At 34.2% G+C, this 18,455-nt stretch overlaps 3 annotated features.

Moving 5' to 3' along the window:
• Nucleotides 3,857-4,358: an enhancer, noted in NCBI's record as "NANOG hESC enhancer chr7:9271295-9271796 (GRCh37/hg19 assembly coordinates)". NCBI's record gives its function as "activates a minimal SCP1, AML or CMV promoter by ChIP-STARR-seq in primed H9 embryonic stem cells {active_cell/tissue: H9 hESC(primed)}" and the evidence as "EXISTENCE:reporter gene assay evidence [ECO:0000049][PMID:30033119]".
• Nucleotides 3,857-4,920: a biological region, named in NCBI's record as "VISTA enhancer hs799".
• Nucleotides 3,870-4,920: an enhancer, noted in NCBI's record as "VISTA enhancer hs799". NCBI's record gives its function as "enhancer in: forebrain[12/13]" and the evidence as "EXISTENCE:transgenic organism evidence [ECO:0001131][PMID:17130149]".

Below are 18,455 nucleotides of genomic sequence, written 5' to 3' on the forward strand. Positions count from 1 at the left end.
TGAATATTCTGCAGAGTAGTGATCAACATATACATGTGACTTATGTGAGGAAACTACCTAAGGCTGTGAAATAAATCACCTCAAAAGGATTAGACAGAAGAGTACCTGGAGCTCACACTGGGCAGAAAATAGTGTCTGTGCCTATTTCCACCAGCTAGACAGGAGAAGCTCATAGTTGACAGAGCACTGGGTAGATTATGCAGAAGTATCTTGCATTTAAGTGATAAATAATTAGGCTTTGCCTTAAATATTGCTTCTGTCTTGTCTAATATATCTTAACAGAAAGACTAGAAAAAAAGAAATGGCTTTCAGTAACTTAACTGTATTTCCCTAAAAGCACAAGAATATTTAGGGAAATAAGAGAAAATTCCACATAGAGATTGGGAAGGGTAGTGAGAAGGAAGGGATAGGGAGAGGTGGGTTGAAGCCTGAAAAATTACATCTAGATAGGAGCAATAAGGTCAAGCATTCTGCACCACAGTAAGATGACTATAGTTAACAATAATATATTATTAGTTTCAAATAGCTATTTGAGTATTTGTTTGAGTTGGAAACATTCAATATTCTCCTGTATATATGAAACATTCAATGTTCTCAAAGGACCCATAAAAATAGAACAAAGTGATATAAAACAGATGATCAATTAAACAAAAATAAAATTATCTGAAACAGGAGAGCATTGGCGGAACATTCAACGTTCTCCTGTATATAAGAAACAGGAGAACATTGGCTGTTTCCAACTCAAATAAATACTGTTTGTGATGATGAATATTCTAATTACACTGATCTGATCACTATGTATTTTAGGTATCGAAATAACACTATGTACTCCATGAACATGTACAACTACTATTTGTCAATTAAAATAAATTTTAAAAAGAAAATGTCAGGACCTTAAAAGGTGAAATTTATAATGTCCAATCAAACATTACCAGGAATGCAAACAGGCAAGACTATATGATTTAGGAGAAAAATTAACTAACTTCAAAAGACCCATAACTTTCATGAAAGAGATGTTAGAATCAGGATATTAAAGGATATCAAAACTGTTACTGTAACTGTATTCCAGATGTTCAAGAAGTTAAGTAGAGACGTGGAAGGTGTAAAAATAACTTAAAACATCTAGAGATGAAAACTGGAATATGTGAGATGAGAAAAAGACCAAATAGGATTAATGGGAGATTAGACATTTTAGATGAGTGAACTTGAAGGCAGCAACTGATGACAAAATGAAACCCTGAGAGAAAAAAAAGAACTTTAAAAAATGAAACAAGCATCAATGATATGAAAGAATCATGTATCATTTCCTCTGAGTGAAACAAAATTAAAACTATCAGAAAAAGTTAAACAAAAGTGTATAAATTTGGGTTAAAATATTTACATCCAAATAACTTATTGGTCTAAAAAGTGTTATAATATAAACTGAGAAAAATAGTTAGAAATAAAATAATCAGATGCAGATAAGATGGTACCTGTAGTAAGAGTACAGTTTTAAATGTTTATATTAGAAAATAAAGTGAACAAACATTTATTTTAGCAATATCCTTAAGAAGTTAAAGAATAAAAAATAAACCCAAATAAATTGAAGAAAACAAAAAAATAGATTTAGGAGCAGAAATAAAAATAGAACAAAGTGATATTAAACAGATGATCAATTAAACAAAAATAAAATTATTTGAATAATAGAATTTATGTATTTATTATTTATTAATTCACCAAACATTTATTGCGTATCTCTCAATATAAATCATGGGCCCAAGAAGACACAGAGGGCAAACTCAGATTGGGGTGGAAGAGAGTTTTTGTGAAAGCAAAATTTGCAAAGGTGTTGGCAGAATTTAGAAAATAAATCAAATCAGTAAGAAATAGCCTAAGACCCTGGGTCTAGTAATAGAGGGACCCAAAGTATTAAGAGAGATTGGTGATGTCATACCAGCGTGGAAAGCTCCTGTGACTTGAACTGAGGCTTTTAGTGGAGCGATGCAGTCAACTAATCCTGGAGACTTGGCACTGAGGAAGTCTTCCATACCCTCCTGAAAACCTACAGCACAGAATGTAGTCAATTTGCAGTAGGAGCTCCGCAGTCCCCAGCCGGCTCCCGAGCATCTAGTTCATTACACTGCAGAAAGTGAAATAAACTACTTTTATCTTTTTAATGCTCACCATGTCCTCCAAGGGTTTACATACAGAGAACAAGAAACATCCCTTCACATTTTAACTAAAGGCTGCACTCAGTAATGAATTTCCAAATTCTGAAATTTACAGTCTTTTAAAATTGGCCCATACAGAAAAAAGCACTGTAGTTCCTCAGCCGTAACCAAACACCAATAATCAATAGTAAATTTGAAGACTTGGTCTCTGAGGAGCCCTGCGCTGGGAGTATGCTTGAAGAATGGGTATCCACCTCTAAGAAATTATGGAAGTTACAAGGTAATTAATACCTGAGATCCAGTGAGCCTGGGTTTGGAGTGAATGGCTGAAAAATCTTGAAACAAATGATTATGTACTTTACTAATGTATCTGTTCCAGATAAAACTAAAGTTTATAAGTTATCTATTAACTTCTGAAGCAAGATATACTGGTAGTTATTCTCTTATTTTGGCTTCCATACTAGTGACACGATCTGGAGTGGGATATGAATAAAACCTAGAGGGATGGTTTTATTGGTTTATATCTATGAATTTGGTGGAGTCCTGTTGCCTTATTTTTTAAGTTGCTGTTGATTTCTATTAACTCCTGTGCCAAGTGAAATATTAAAACCAATAAATAACAGTAGTTCACTAAGTCACCTGACAACATTAATAAGTATTAAATACTATTAAATTAATAATTTATATAATAAATATTTATTATTGAATTAATTTCATTATATAAAATAATATATCCAGAGGAATATAATGTGAATAAATGCATTCTTTTAATTCTATAGATACCTTACCTATACAATGAAACTTATAATTTTATTGCTTTAATATTTTTATTAAAATTATCTTATTTTTAAATCCCATGGAATGAAACTGAAATGATACATAAAATAAATGGTAAAAAATAAATATCTAAAATTATCTATAATCTAAAAATAACTTACATTATTATGACCCAAAGCACATTTTCTGGATATATTTTTGCTTTATTTTCCCATTTTCTCATAATTCTTTTTTATTTCTCAGGGATAAGTTAGATTAAGTTACTGATCACTGAAAATACAATGCATATAGAAGAGTAATAATTAAGATATATTTATATGAAGTATGGAATTTGATTACCCATTATTGTTTGTTGATTTAAATTCGACAAATAGTGGAATACTTCTCAATTATATATAAATATAAAAATATAGAATTTTCTTGTAATTTGACATGCTCAAATCTTGAAACCCTCAAATAAGAGTCACTACAATAATAAATTTGGAAGACACAGAAATACCCAGAAATCATAACTAGCAGTTGGTAGCAGCCTACTATTAAAAGATTTAGCACCAAGAAGAAAGAATTAAAGAACACAAAAGGGCTGGAAAGTAAGGCTTACTTTTATCATTAGTCAACTTCACAACTATTACCATTTTTACCAGCTCATTCTTAGTAGAATTTCTTTCTTAACATAAGCAGTAATATTTTCCATCAGATTATGTTGATAACTCCGAATTCCACATTCTTTTGCTACAAAGATGCTTCTCTGAGGGAATGAATATCCAAGTAAATAAATAAATAAACAAATAAATGAAAGGCTATTTTGACTTTAGGGATAAAAGATATTTTAAAACATGTGAGGTCATAATTAGTTAATTGATGCTGGCAACTGATTCAGGCAGCTATGAACTGAGATCATTTCAAAAGCCCTACCCAGGGGCTCATCTCACATACACAAGAGACCGAGGACATGAACTAAAAGAAAGCTACAGTGTTCCTTCTCTTCTGGCTTAGTCTTAGCATTTTGTGGGAGCTGCTTACAGAATCAGGAATCAAAAGAAAGACGATTTGGGAGCTTATTTTGTAGAGAGGGATGGTTTAGTAGAAGCTTAGAAAGGGATACACTGGCCTTGTGTTAAGCCCTACAGCACAGGCATCACTAATTATTTATATCCTGCTGTTAAGCGTAAAACAGGCTTGACTGCCCTTACAACAGCTGCAGTCTCACCACGTGTGCAGCACCATGAACTTTATGTGTGAGCTCTCCTGAAGAGCTATCGGGGCACGGGGCACTACAAGCAGGTAGCATCGTTGTCAGAAAAGCCTTCTGAAGAGTCCTGGTGCATTGGCAGCAATTAATGCAGGTGGTATTTTAGACAAGGGAGCTAATGAGTTTTAATATGCATGCAGGTGAGGGAGTGCTGAATCAGGAGAGCCATTAATGAACCTATGACAGCCTAATTAGCTACAATTTAAAATCTATGGAATCTAATCAGAAGAGCTGAACGCTGCTGCAAATCTGTGTATGAATGAGTCTTTCTAAATACTCCAATCTGTTGCTTAGTCACTGATTGATAGTAATTGCTTTTTTTCCTCTATTGTGCATAGGAAAATGCCCAATTTTGCTCTGATAAGGGAGGACACAACACTGAAGTTAAATGCCTAAGATGTTTAGCTCCTTAAGTTTAATCAGTGAGTGTTTAAAAAAATCAAAGTAAAATTAATTTGAACTCTGAATATAGATGATTTAAAATATACTACCAACTTCTTATATATTGGGTTGGCAAAGACAACATAGCTATTAACACCCGACAGCATATCTGAAAAGCAAGCAAAGATGCTGAAACATGCAAATGCATAAAATGCATTTATTAATCCGTAATTTGTTTTAAAAAGCTTTATTTATGTCATCAGAGATAACAGGGCTACATATTTTATTGAATACTTGAGATAATGAAACAGCTTTTTGAGGTTAACACAATCTATTAAGCATCGAATTTTTATGTGGCTGAACTAGTTTGTTTCAGAAAATGGGAATAATTTTATAAAGGTGTGAGGTGATACTATTTTGTAGTGGCCATTTGGTAATAACTGACGTATAAAAGGCACAAGCAGTTTTTCTACTCTGACATTTCACCCTTGTCTAACACAATTCATCTGAGAACCTTAAAGAACTGTGTAGGCTCTGATTTATTGAGTCTTATAACACCACGGGTAGACAGGTCAGTATGACTATACTCGTTTTACAGTCAGCTCACCTGAGCTCCATTTGCTGAAGGTCACAAGTGAGTCAATAGAAGAACTATAAAAAGAGAGTCAGGAAAGTCCAGAGTGTTACTTCTTTACTTTTTCCATTTGATAAATGGTGCATCTCTCAATTCTGACATTTCACATAAAACTCTATGCATCTAATTTTTGAATATAAACAGAAAACATCTTAAAATACAGATGTTCTAATCATGAATTATTTTAAAAATACTGATATTTGGTTTATAAGTATGGTATTATCAGTTTTGAACCAAACTAAGAGAACTGCCACATTTCCTTATTGGTGTCAGTAGGAGCAATTGTAAAGTGTTGTTTCTGTTAGCTTAATCACCAGGTACTCAGGTTGAAACCTAAAGAAAAGATGAAGATATTTTCTTTAGTTAGAAATTTCTAAAATAGAAGAAAGAAAGAAGAGAGAGAGGGAGAGAAGGGAGAGGTGAGGAGATGGATGGGAGAAAGAGAGAGAGACAGAGAGGACAGAAAATGTACATATAAATATACCCACCAAAAGAACTTCAGATGAGATGGCTTATTAAATAGAAGCTGATGACATAGAAAAGATACATAAGATGTATATTGTTTTATAAATTTGTTTTTTAGTGGAACACACACATAAACACAAGGGAAAGATGAGAACGTGAAAGGACACAGACAACTCAAACAGTATATCAAAATAGTTTTAGATTATGTACTGATATTTCTGCAATTCATTTTTCCATGTAAAAAATGTACTGCAAGAGTAATTTTATGAAATTTGATGTTCACATGAAATTTACCTGATCCCTGGCCCAATGGAATTTTTTTCAAGTTTGATGATATTATGGTAAAATCATGTTAGTATTGACCCTTATGCATTAATATATGAGCCAAGTAATCTCTAAAGTAAATATTTTTGAAAGTGCTGCTCATGTGACAGTGTTTACAAAAGTGTCCCTTGTCTTTGAAACATCCAAGAACAAGGCTATCAAACTTCAGTATGTTGATGAATAAACTTTATTCTACCTAAGATATATCTGATTCTTAAATTCATAAAATGTGATCATTGTTTCCTTAAATTAGTTAGCAACAATAAATAATCCCCACATTTGGTTTTGTTTTCATATGCTATGACATAATATCAGTTAGTTGGAAAATGTTCTATTATGTCTTTTGATTGATATTTTCCTATTATTGTTTTTGTGCATATTAGCTGAAAATAATTTGTCTTAATTAGTAGCTTCCCTAATTATTTTATATTATTAAATATTATCATATATGTACCACTGTATTTGGTCTATCTAAATTTGATAGGTAAAACTGCCATATGCATTTCAGTAGCTGGCAAGTTGGAATTGAGAGATATTATTTAAAATACTAAATGTAAAATTTTTGGTACATGTTCAATTTGCATTACTCCAATAAAAACAAATTCAAAACATTTTACACCATCACTTTGTTTAAAGATAGCATTTTAGTCACAATAATACTAGACCTCAATTTATAATAAAATAGAAATATACATTAAATTAGTATAGTATAGAGATGAAATTATTTCCATTTAAAACTTCAATGCCATTTCTTTTTCTTCCCTTTGCTTTCAAGAATAACCCAATGTTTATTATGTTTTCTTTACAAAAGTCAACTTAGCTGTGTGTCTTTGGTATAGTTACTGAATCTCTTTAGCAACAATTTCATAACCTATAGTAAGAATGTTATAATGTGACCTTCTTCAACATGTAATAGGAGGAGTAATTAACATTAAGTACCATAAAATATGTGCGTATAAGAGCTCAACACAAAATGAATGATTTTTGGTGTTTCTAAAATTAGACTGTTTTATAAATAGTAGGTCCTCAGGAAAAAAAAAAAGATGCTATTTCTGCTTCAAGGTGACTATAATCTTTGTTGAAATTAATAGAGTACTTGAATCAGAATTTTAAATAATTTTTTTAAATTGGTACTTGGTGGTGGCAGATCACTCTACATTGAAAATGTTTCATTTAGTAGACCAACTTTCCTAGGCTCTATTTAATTTTGGAAGCTATAATGATTTAAATATAAGTAACGAATAGAATCATTAGATTTATGAATCAATTATTTGTATTAAGATCTTTATTGATATAGATTAACCTACTTGATGAGTATGTCAGTAAGTTCACGTATGTTTGAAGGTGAACGTTTGGTTATATTAGAATTTTCAAATCCTTTCATATTTTATTGCAAACTATTTTACAGCATGATTTTATTCTCATTCGGAATATTTAAGATGTTGATATGAGTTATGTTTTATCAGCATGTACAATTGTAAGTTTTGTGGAAGTACAGACTATACCTACTATAGTGCCAGTCATTCAATTAATCATTCAATACATGAAAGGCAGAAATTCAATGGATGAATGCATATATTCGCTTAGGAAATATTAATTGTCTTCTTACTCTGTGCCCGGTACTGTGCTAGATAGTGAGTGTATACAGATAAGCAAAATAAACATGGTGGATCCCCTCATGGAGGTGATAAATGATAAAGTATTAATTTTGAAAAATGCTATGAAAGTCAAGTTCATATTTCATTAGGGAACTTAATTTGAATTGAAGCATCAGGGAAAGCCTTCTTAGAACAATATGCAACTGAGCTGGGTAAAAGAATATCTAGGAATGAAAGCTCTCTTAGAACAACGTGCAACTGATCTGGGTAAAAGCATATCTAGGAATGAAGCTCATAAAGAGTGGGCCAGGGGAAGCATTCTATGTAAATGAATTCCACATGGGAATATCACGAAGGTGGAAAGATCTCAGTCAAAGCACGAAAAGAAGGTCATTATGGCAGAAGAGAAAGGTAGAGAGAAATAGAAGATTGATGAGTTAGATAGCAGATCATGCAGCAACTTGTTGGCCATGTTAAGGATTTTAGACGTGCTCTAAGTGGAATGAAAAATCTTGAAGGAATTTAAAGATGGGGTTTCATCATTGTGTTTAGATTTAAAAAGTGTCTGCTCTATAGAGAATGGTTTGGCAAGAGACAGAAAAGCAGTTTAGGGTCCAACTAGAACACACACCGATATTAGTCTAGGTTAGAGGTATTGCTGGATTGGAATACAGCGGTAGCAGAAAAATTGGGAAAGTAGAGACTTCAGTATATTTTGATGGTGTCACCTAAAAGGCTGAAGAAAATGTTCCTGTTCTAGATGAGGAAGAAAGATAAGTCTAGAGGACTCCCAGCCCTTAACCATGTAATAGTGAAGTACTATATAACTAGAAAGTGAACACTGAAAAAGAGAAGACAACACTTTTTTTATTGGAGGATACATGCACGCATAATAGGTCATATTTAAGACCATAGAAATGGATGAGTTCTTACAGGGAGAAAAACTAAGGTGAGAAGAAAGTTGATATCCAGATGTATGGAACAATGCACAGTAAAAAATGATGCTAAGACTCCAGGAAAGATGAGGTCTATAACATTTCCATTGTATTTTGGTAAGATCAGTAATTACTCCAACAAGAACAATTTCAGTGATAGGGTAGCAAAGGTTCAAGTGAGATTTCCGACAATGAAGAGTAAATAAGGGTGTTTCCTTTGAAACATGCAAGAATACAGATTATTTTTACTACCTTTTCTCCCAGTGTAATCTCACTAAAAGTCTCATAAAGCTAAATATGCACACACACACACACACACACACACCCCGCTGTACATTAAAAACAAGCTCATAACACGAACCTCCAGCAATGAAGCTTCCTAGACAAATATTTTGAAATATGAATCAAAATAAGGGAGAAAACAGAAAGCTGATACATACCTTCTTGGAGTTTCACCACGAAATAGATTTCTTTAAAAATACTTGCCATAATATTGGAAAACCTATCCAAAGTGTTTTTTTTTTTATTAGAACAGTGAAAAAAGTAATAGGCAGTTCACAGAAAAATAGGGATATTCCTAATCATTTGAAAGACAAAAAGGAGAGTCATTCTTTCAGGAGAAGGGAACATATAGTCTATATTGATGCTGCCTACCATACCTACTACTTTTCAAGAAATAGTTTTACCCAGGCAAATGTGAATAAAAATTTTAAGGAACACTATGCATAGATACTGCCTAGGAAATACAAGGAAAAAGATTAAAAAAGTAATGTTATAGGAGCAACATCATGAAAAAATAGAAAAAGAGAGCTCTCCTTGCCAGTAAATACAAGGAAAAAGACAAAGAAAGTAATGTTATAGGAACAACAGCATAAAGAAATAGAAGAAGAGATAGCTTTCCTTGCCCACAAAAGAATTAAAACTTTAGGTAATTTTAAATATCTCAAGAAAGAAGAACAATAATTTTTTAAAAAGGAATTAGAAATCAATAAAAGAAGATAAGAAAAACTGCCAGTGCTAATGAGAAAAATGTTGATGAGAAATATATCAATATACAGAGATAAGAAACACAGAAATAAAATTCCACTAAATATGACTATAAATTATGATGCTTTATGGCAGATAAGCTACAGGACATGGCAACAAAACCAAAACAGATTAAATTTTTAAATACCTGCATAGGAAATTATAGATTATAGATTTTTAAAAAATCAAGATACACATCATTTAGGAAAACAAGAGGATAATAAATATAATAGAAAAAGTAACCAAAGATATAATATTAGAAAAATTTACTGAAATAAAAATTTGACGGTGTGTATCATAAGTGCAAAATGTTTCCTTGGAAAATACTTATATAAATGTTAAAAAAGAATATATATCATAATGAATTTAAGGTCTTAAATAATTATAAAAATATCATGTGGAAACCATGATCAGGAAAACATATTATTTAGAGGAAAACCCACTTGATTTGCCATGTATTTATAGCCATATTAAATGCAGGATATACTAGGACACTAACTCCAAGCTTTTAAGGGGAAGAAAGTCTCGGCCAGGTGAGGTGGCTCACATCTATAATCCCATCACTTTGGGAGGCCGAGACAGGCAGACTGCCTGAGGTCAGGAGTTCAAGACCAGCCTGGCCAACATGGAGAAACCCCATCTCTACTAAAAATACAAAAATAGCTGGGCATGGTGCCATGTGCCTGTAATCCCTGCTACTCAGTAGGCTGAGGCAGGAGAAACCCTTGAACCTGGGAGGCGGAGGTTGCAGTGAGCCAAGATAGCACCATTGCACTCAAGCCTGGGCAACAAGAGCAAAACTACGTCTCAAAAAAAAAAACCTGTGAAGCACAAAATTTATAGCAGAAAGGCAATATATGATTGCATATATATATATATATACACACACTATACATAACATATATATTACATAGATGCAATACATGATTTATATGAAAAGAAGTGGATTTGTACTATATGTAAAAATTGGGGCCGGGAGCAGTGGCTCATGCTTGTAATCCCAGTAATTTTGGAGGTCAAGGTGGGAGGATCGTTTGAGCCCAGGAGTTCCAGACCTGCCTGGGCAATATAGTGTGACCTCATCTCTACAAAAAATTCAAAGATTAGCTGAGTGTGGTGGTGCATGCCTGTAGCCCCACCTACTCTGGGGGTTGAGGCAAGAGGATTGCTTGAGCCCAGGAAGTGGAGGTTGCAGTGGGTCAAGATAGCATCATTGCACTCCAGCTTGGATGGCAGAGCAAGACCCCGTTTCAAAACAAAATCTAAAAACAAAAAAAAAAGTTCAATCTATCTTCTTAAATTTAACTTTAAAGGAGTTATTTTTTCTTAATAAACTGGCAAAAAAAAATCTATTAGACTTTATAAATATGCCAGCTTTTTAAAAAAGAAAACATTAAGTTAGGTGATAGATATGATACTTAGCTTGATTGCGGTAATCATTTCACATCATATACGTATATCAAAACTCCATGTAGTACACCTTACATTTATATAATTTTTATCAATTATATGTCAAAAAAGCCTGGAGAAAAAGGAGACAATGTGTCAAATGAACTCATGTTGTCAAACTGACAAGGTACATATAAAACTTGCGTATTTTCAATCTGCAAGTCTGTATTATGAGTTATTTGAAATTAAATTCACTAAATTTGAAGGGTATCTTTAGGTGGTGGAATGATGGTTGTTCTTTGTACACCTATTAGTTTCTGAAATTATTCATAAGAAACATTAAATTTAAAAAAACACATAAGGTAATTTTGTGAAAGAATAAATAGGAAGCAAGCGCATGAAGAAAGGATGTCAGAACTGTATTGTGAGCCTTCTCTGTGAAGGGATAGAGAAAATGAGCAATAAATGAGAGTTGTCTCATTCAGCTCAGGCTGCTATAACAAAATACCTGAGGTTGGGTGGCTTTAAAAAACAGAAATTTGTTTCTGACAGTGATGGAGGCTGGAAGTCCAAGATCAGGGTGTCAGCTTGACAGTCAGGCTCTTGATGAGGGCTTTTTTCATGGTTGTGTCCTCATGTGGTCTTTCTTGATTGCGCACAAAAATAGAGTGATGTTTTGTTTTCCCTTCTTTTTATAAAGACATCAATCCCATCATTAAGGGACCCACCCTCATGAGCTAATCTAACCTAAATTATCTCCCAAACCCCCTACCTCCTAGTACATCCTACTGGGGATTAGGGTTTCAATGTATGAATTCTGGGGGGACATAAACATGCAGTCCATAACAGTAGTTTTAAGTTAGGATTACAGGAAGTGTATTTTAATACTAACAGAGAAGGGTAGAGATTCAGGATACTTGGCACAAAATCAGTCCTCCAAATATACTGCTTCAATTGAATTAAAATTGTTGTAAACAATTTGTTATGCTAGTTATATAATATTTCTGATTCAAAAGAAACAAGAACAAAAATATTTTATCTTGAAAATCTTTCATTAAAGAGTAAAAAAGAAAATTTTAATGCATATCATTGGTGTTTAATACATATCGTATATATTATTAATATGCTTCCCATATAATACAATATATACTGCTTAAACTTATAATGGTTTTATTAGATAATTGTTTGTTGTCATTTCTCAGGCATTTGTCAAATCTAAGAAAAAGCAGTCAGGAAATAAAGATTAGAAAAAAATTCCAATTATCTGGTGAGAATGAAAACAAAGGCAGAAATGTTACTTGATTGAAAGAATTCCTTGATATGAAGTCAAAAGCAAGAGGAGAAAACAACAACATAAGAAACACAGCATAATACATGAAGTCAATTTTAAGGTTGGTATTTCAGGAAAGAAAGGAAACAACAGGATCTAATCAGTTGCTCTTGCTTGAGGCTATTGCTTTATTATAAATATGCATTTGTGGCCCAGTGAACAGTGAGCTATTCTTTCAAATACACCAAATACCAATAAATTTATATAAATAGTATACTTCATACCAATCATATGAGTGTTTTCTCAGACATAAATATTGGAAGCAAAGTCAGTGCTTAAATATGTCATTTTGGCAAGTGATTTCATGTAGTACCATTAATTTTGCTAGAAAATTAAAATGTTCTATTATTCGAATACTACCAAATAATCTTTGCTGATGTTTTCCAACATGTGGATATTCACTGTAGGCAGCAGTTTTTTGTAAATAATTCAGTAGAAGAAATAAAAAAAGAAAACAGTGGAGATGTTTATGTGGCATACTGACTTGAAGTCAGAAAGCTACCTAAAATCTGAGTTAGGAAAAGCAGCGTCAATTGTAATGACAAAACCAATATCAAGATGAACAGACAAAATTTATGTATTTGTTTGTTTATTTATTTATTAATTTATTTAGAGACCGAGTCTCACTCTGTTGCCCAGGCTGGAGTGCAGTGGCACGATCTCAGTTCACTGCAATCTCCGCCTCCCGGGCTCAAGTGATTCTCTTGCCTCAGCCTCCCGAGTAGTTGGGATTACAGGCACCCACCACCATGCCTGGCTAATTTTTGTATTTTTAGTAGAGACAGAGTTTCATCATGTTGGCCAGGCTGGCCTCAAACTCCTGACCTCAGCTGATCCACCCACCTCGGCTTCCCAAAGTGTTGGGATTACAGGTGTGAGCCACCCTGCCTGGCCTATATTTATTTTTTAAAAAGTATTGCACTTACATGAAACAACATGTATCCTAAGGCCCAATTTATTTTATTTTTTTATTTTTTTATTTTTTGAGACAGAGTTTTGCTCTTGTCTCCCAGGCTGGAGTGCAGTGGCAAGATCTCGGCTCACTGCAACCTCCCCCTCCCAGGTGCAAGAGATTCTCCTGCCTCAGCCTATGAAGTAGCTGAGATTACAGGTGCCCAACACCACGCCCATTTACTTTTTATATTTTTAGTAGAGACGGGGTTTCGCCATGTTGGTCAGGCTGGTCTTGAACTCCTGACTTCAGGTGGTCCGCCTGCCTTGGCCTCCCAAAGTGCTGGGATTACAGGCGTGAGCCACCACACTCAGCCCCTAATGCCCAATTTGAAGATGATTTTAGACATACTCAACACTCAGACCAACATCAGCACAAAATCCAAGAATATTTCAGTGTGAGAAATATTTGTCATTAAAGATCAAATTATCAAATAGTCAATTCATGCTTTGTACATTTTAAGTCTTTATTTAAAAAATTTAAATATTAAATATTTGTTCTATTTTTCAATTTTAAGTGATATGGAGGAAATTGATGTTTCTGTTAATGTTCCATTCTTTTGATATTTTCTATCTTAAATGTTTATATAAGATAAAGTTTAATTTTATCTGATACAGAAATATAAAATATTATAACATATTGGCTTATAATAGTGAATTATGCATTTATTGTTATATATTTACAGTAACCTCTGAAATATTTAATATGTACCTAACACATGGGAAAATTTTAAAAAATACAGTAACTATTATTATGGTGACTCATTATTATTTAAAAACACATACATAAAGAACATCTCTTCAAATAAAAAGTCCTTGTGACCTCCTTTGGCAAAATATTTTTAACCAAAATGGAAAGTTTCTGCCAATACTGTTGATAGACATCCATTCAACTCTTACAGGCAATGTGCACCATCTTCTCTTCCCTTAAATCTGTTTAGACTGGTATCTCTTCTCATAGCTGTGAATGCTATGGTTATCTAAGCGTTAACATTTGCCCTTGATCATTCTCAATTGCCTGTCAAGAGCAAATGGGGAACAGTAGAATTAACAGATCACTTACTCACTCTGCCCTATTTGTTTGGTGGGCTCTTTAAGGATTGAGGAAAAAAATTTAAAACCACTCAAGGCAGGATACTTAAAAAAATGCTTTGAATATAATAGAGCCTTTAATTAAAAGCATTTACTCATAACTTGTTTTTAAAAATCCTCTCATGATGTCTACCTTTAACACGTCTGTCTATTACGTGAAGTTCTTTGACTAATGTTGAACACAAATCCCAGAAAGGAGAGGCAACTAAAGTAACATTGACATTCACTGACCATGTCAGATGAGACCAGGAATCTAATTTCTGGTCTCAGCCCTTCTTTCACTACTTATTGCCTTGTTACCTTCTACATTTTCTTAAGAGAAGATCACATATTTAGTGATCAGAATCAGACAAGGACACAGATGTTCTTATAAATCAACAAGGATACCTTAACTCATTAGTGGAGCTCAGTTGATAGTATTAATACTTTTTTTTCAGTTGGCACATTTTAATCTGACAATATCAGAATTGGTTTGTAAATCAGACCTACGAAAATAAATTGCCAATTTTAAAAATCGTCATTTCTTCAGAATTTCTGAAGTCAGAAGCCATGGATACCAGAAGAAATTTGTTTAAAAGTATCAAACTTTTCAAAGACTCAGCGCCTTCAGCTAACAAAAATGAAACCAAAGACATACAAGGCAGCCGCTGCATGGACTTTCATTCCTTTTTTATTTTTGCTGTGCTTGGATGTGAAGATATCCTGTGTGACTGAGCCGTCTCATACTGAAGAGTCAGCACTGCTGTTGCTATTGAAAGAGCTATATTGAGAACTTTATTATGCTCATCTGAAAAGCAAAATCAGTGACTATGAACAACTTACAGGACAGCTGAAAGTAGTTAAATCATTTACTTGTAATACTCCCAAGATCTTAAAATGCTACAATATATAAAATACATTCAGTCACCACAGCACTTTTACACTCAGACAAACCCCTTGGAATCTACGGGAACTTTTCATTTAATCTCTTTCTCCCTATTCTGTTGTAAGACAAAAGTAGTCACAAGTAGACAGTTTCTGACTTTTTGCTTTGAGCTAGAGGTTTAAATTCATAGAGTGTTTCAGACCCAGAAAAAACAAGCAGCATTTTTAACAAGAGGACGTTTCATAATATATTGTTTATTTAGAATCTTAAAAGCCCCCACTTTACTCTGAAGGTCTTGGTCCATGTGTTCAAGTCCTAGCTGGATCGTTTATTACCTGTATGCTTGTAAAATTACTTCTCATCAACTGATTCCATTTCAGTGTCTAGAAGATGAGAGCAAAATAGCTATATCTAGTTTAGCTACTTACCAGCATTGTTCTGCACTTCAAAGGTGAAATCACAAGAGAAAGAGTTTGCATGATGATGGTTAAAGGTTCTAGAGTCAGAGACATGGGTTTGAATCCTGGATGTAATACCAGCTGCTGAATTTTGCTTGGGCGAGATTTTCTACTTTTTTTCCCAAAACCTTTCTTTTCCCACAAAAATGCAGAAAAAATTGAGTTTACCTCATAAAGCCATATTGATATTTAAATGACATCACAAATTTAAAGCTACAGGCCTACATGCATACCTGTGTTTCATGCATGTCCCTCACACCTGTTTAGGCACTGCAGACCAAACCAGTAAAGGAAGGCTGTGATTAAATCACTACCTTGGTTTCACTACATAGTTCAAGAGAAGTCTGTCACCAGTCACCCCAGGACTATTGGCTTGAACTTATCCCAGTACTCCTGTGCTGGACTCAAACAGTTATTCTCTGTGTCACATCTTTGTTTATGAGGGATACTACCAGAACTCCCACTCACCCAAATCAATCATCATTTTCATCCTCTTCATCATCATTTTCAATACCCTTGATGCTCTGAATATTCACTAATTAGAGCCAATTCTCGGGTCTTCTATATCTTTGCAAACTTTCCCAATGTGACTTCTTCAAGGTACCATCTACCATTAAGGTTTTAATAAGGTGGTGATAGTGTTTGTTTCTACAATTTCATTTCCAAACCACTTCTCTTTTCTTCTTGTTTTGGAAACCACCCCCAACCCCAATTCCTCATCCGTATCATAATATCTGCTCTACTGACTCTACCGTAATTTCATTACCCATAGCTCTGCACATCTATTCTTATGAAGCTACATTTCCACAACCCATCTCAATAGGCACGTTCTTGCATTTATCCTCAATCCCCTTGCCCTGCTCTCCCTTTCTTATACTCCCTGAATTAGTCTATGTGTTATCTGCACCTGTGCAGGTGCAGTAAGCTACACACGAACTTAAAAGTATGCTGACTGGTCTCATTTAAAAACAATTACCCTACATCTCAAGAAGGCACCCAGTAGTGTCTCATATACCCACTAAATTTTTCTGTTTGCTCTTTCATCCCCAAAAATGGTCATTTCAGACATTCTTCTAGATCATTAAATCTCCATCTGATTTATTCATCTATATACCAGTCACACATGCAATGCACTTGAGCACACACACACATTTTCTGCCAATAAGTTGGTTTTCAGCTTTCTTCTGGAAACAGATGATTTACTATGTAAACTCCCTCATCTTTATGTTTCCAAATCTATCACCCTTCCAATATCTTTATTCAGATGTTTTTTCTTCCCACTATTTATGTTGGATAAAATTTTTACTCTTATAAAAAAAGTATTCACCTTCTCATAGACTTCTTCCATTGCTACAATTAAACTTTAACAGCATTATAGGCTGATAACCTCAATTTTATCTTCCGGCCTGGTCTATGCTGTGGGAATAGCTCACTTGGAATTGGATAACTTTGCCTCTGATAGGTATTGTCAGAGTCCAAAGCATATAACTGCAATTGTCTTGTGGAATTCTGTTCTTGGCTGTCTAATAGGCCAGGGTGGCTCCATCCTGGGCATGCAGTCATACGGGGCCTTGCATTTAAAAGTTGCCTATACATGGGCAAGGACTTCATGTCTAAAACACCAATAGCAATGGCAAAAAAAGCCAAAATTGACAAATGGGATCCAATTAAACTAAAGAGCTTCTGCACAGCAAAAGAAACTACCATCAGAGTGAACAGGCAACCTACAAAATGGGAGAAAATTTTTGCAATCTACTCATCTGACAAAGGGCTAATATCCAGAATCTACAAAGAACTCAAACAAATTTACAAGAAAAAAACAAACAACCCCATCAAAAAGTGGGCAAAGGATATGAACAGACACTTCTCAAAAGAAGACATTTATGCAGCCAACAGGCACATGAAAAAATGCTCATCATCACTGGCCATCAGAGAAATGCAAATCAAAACCACAATGAGATACCATCTCACACCAGTTAGAATGGCAATCATTAAAAAGTCAGGAAACAACAGGTGCTGGAGAGGATGTGGAGAAATAGGAACACTTTTACACTGTTGGTGGGACTGTAAACTAGTTCAACCATTGTGGAAGTCAGTGCGGCGATTCCTCAGGGATCTAGAACTAGAAATGCCATTTGACCCAGCCGTCGCATTACTGGGTATATACCCAAAGGATTATAAATCATGCTGCTATAAAGACACATGCACACGTATGTCTATTGCAGCACTATTCACAATAGCAAAGACTTGGAACCAACCCAAATGTCCATCAGCGATAGACTGGATTGAGAAAATGTGGCACATATACACCATGGAATACTATGCAGCCATAAAAAATGATGAGTTCATGTCCTTTGCAGGGACATGGATTAAGCTGGAAACCATCATTCCCAGCAAACTATCGCAAGGACAAAAAAACCAAACACCACATGTTCTCACTCATAGGTGGGAATTGAACAGTGAGAACACTTGGACACAGGAAGGGGAACATCACACACTGGGGCCTGTCGTGGGGTTGGGGGATGGGGGAGGGATAGCATTAGGAGATACACCTAATGTTAAATGACAAGTTAATGGGTGCAGCACACCAACATGGCGCATGTATACGTATGTAACAAAACTGCACGTTGTGCATATGTACCCTAGAACTTAAAGTATAATAAAAAAAAGTTGCCTATATTTGGTTTAATGTTTTGCTATCACCATGTTGAAATCATTACTAATTTATAAATAAGCGCTCTACATACTCATTTTACACTGGGATCCCCAAGATAAGTAGCTAGTCCATCTTAGGCACCTCAAATTTAATATTGTCAAGCAGATGACTT

This window comes from Homo sapiens, chromosome 7 (assembly GCF_000001405.40).
Source record: "Homo sapiens chromosome 7, GRCh38.p14 Primary Assembly".
Lineage (NCBI taxonomy): Eukaryota > Metazoa > Chordata > Mammalia > Primates > Hominidae > Homo > Homo sapiens.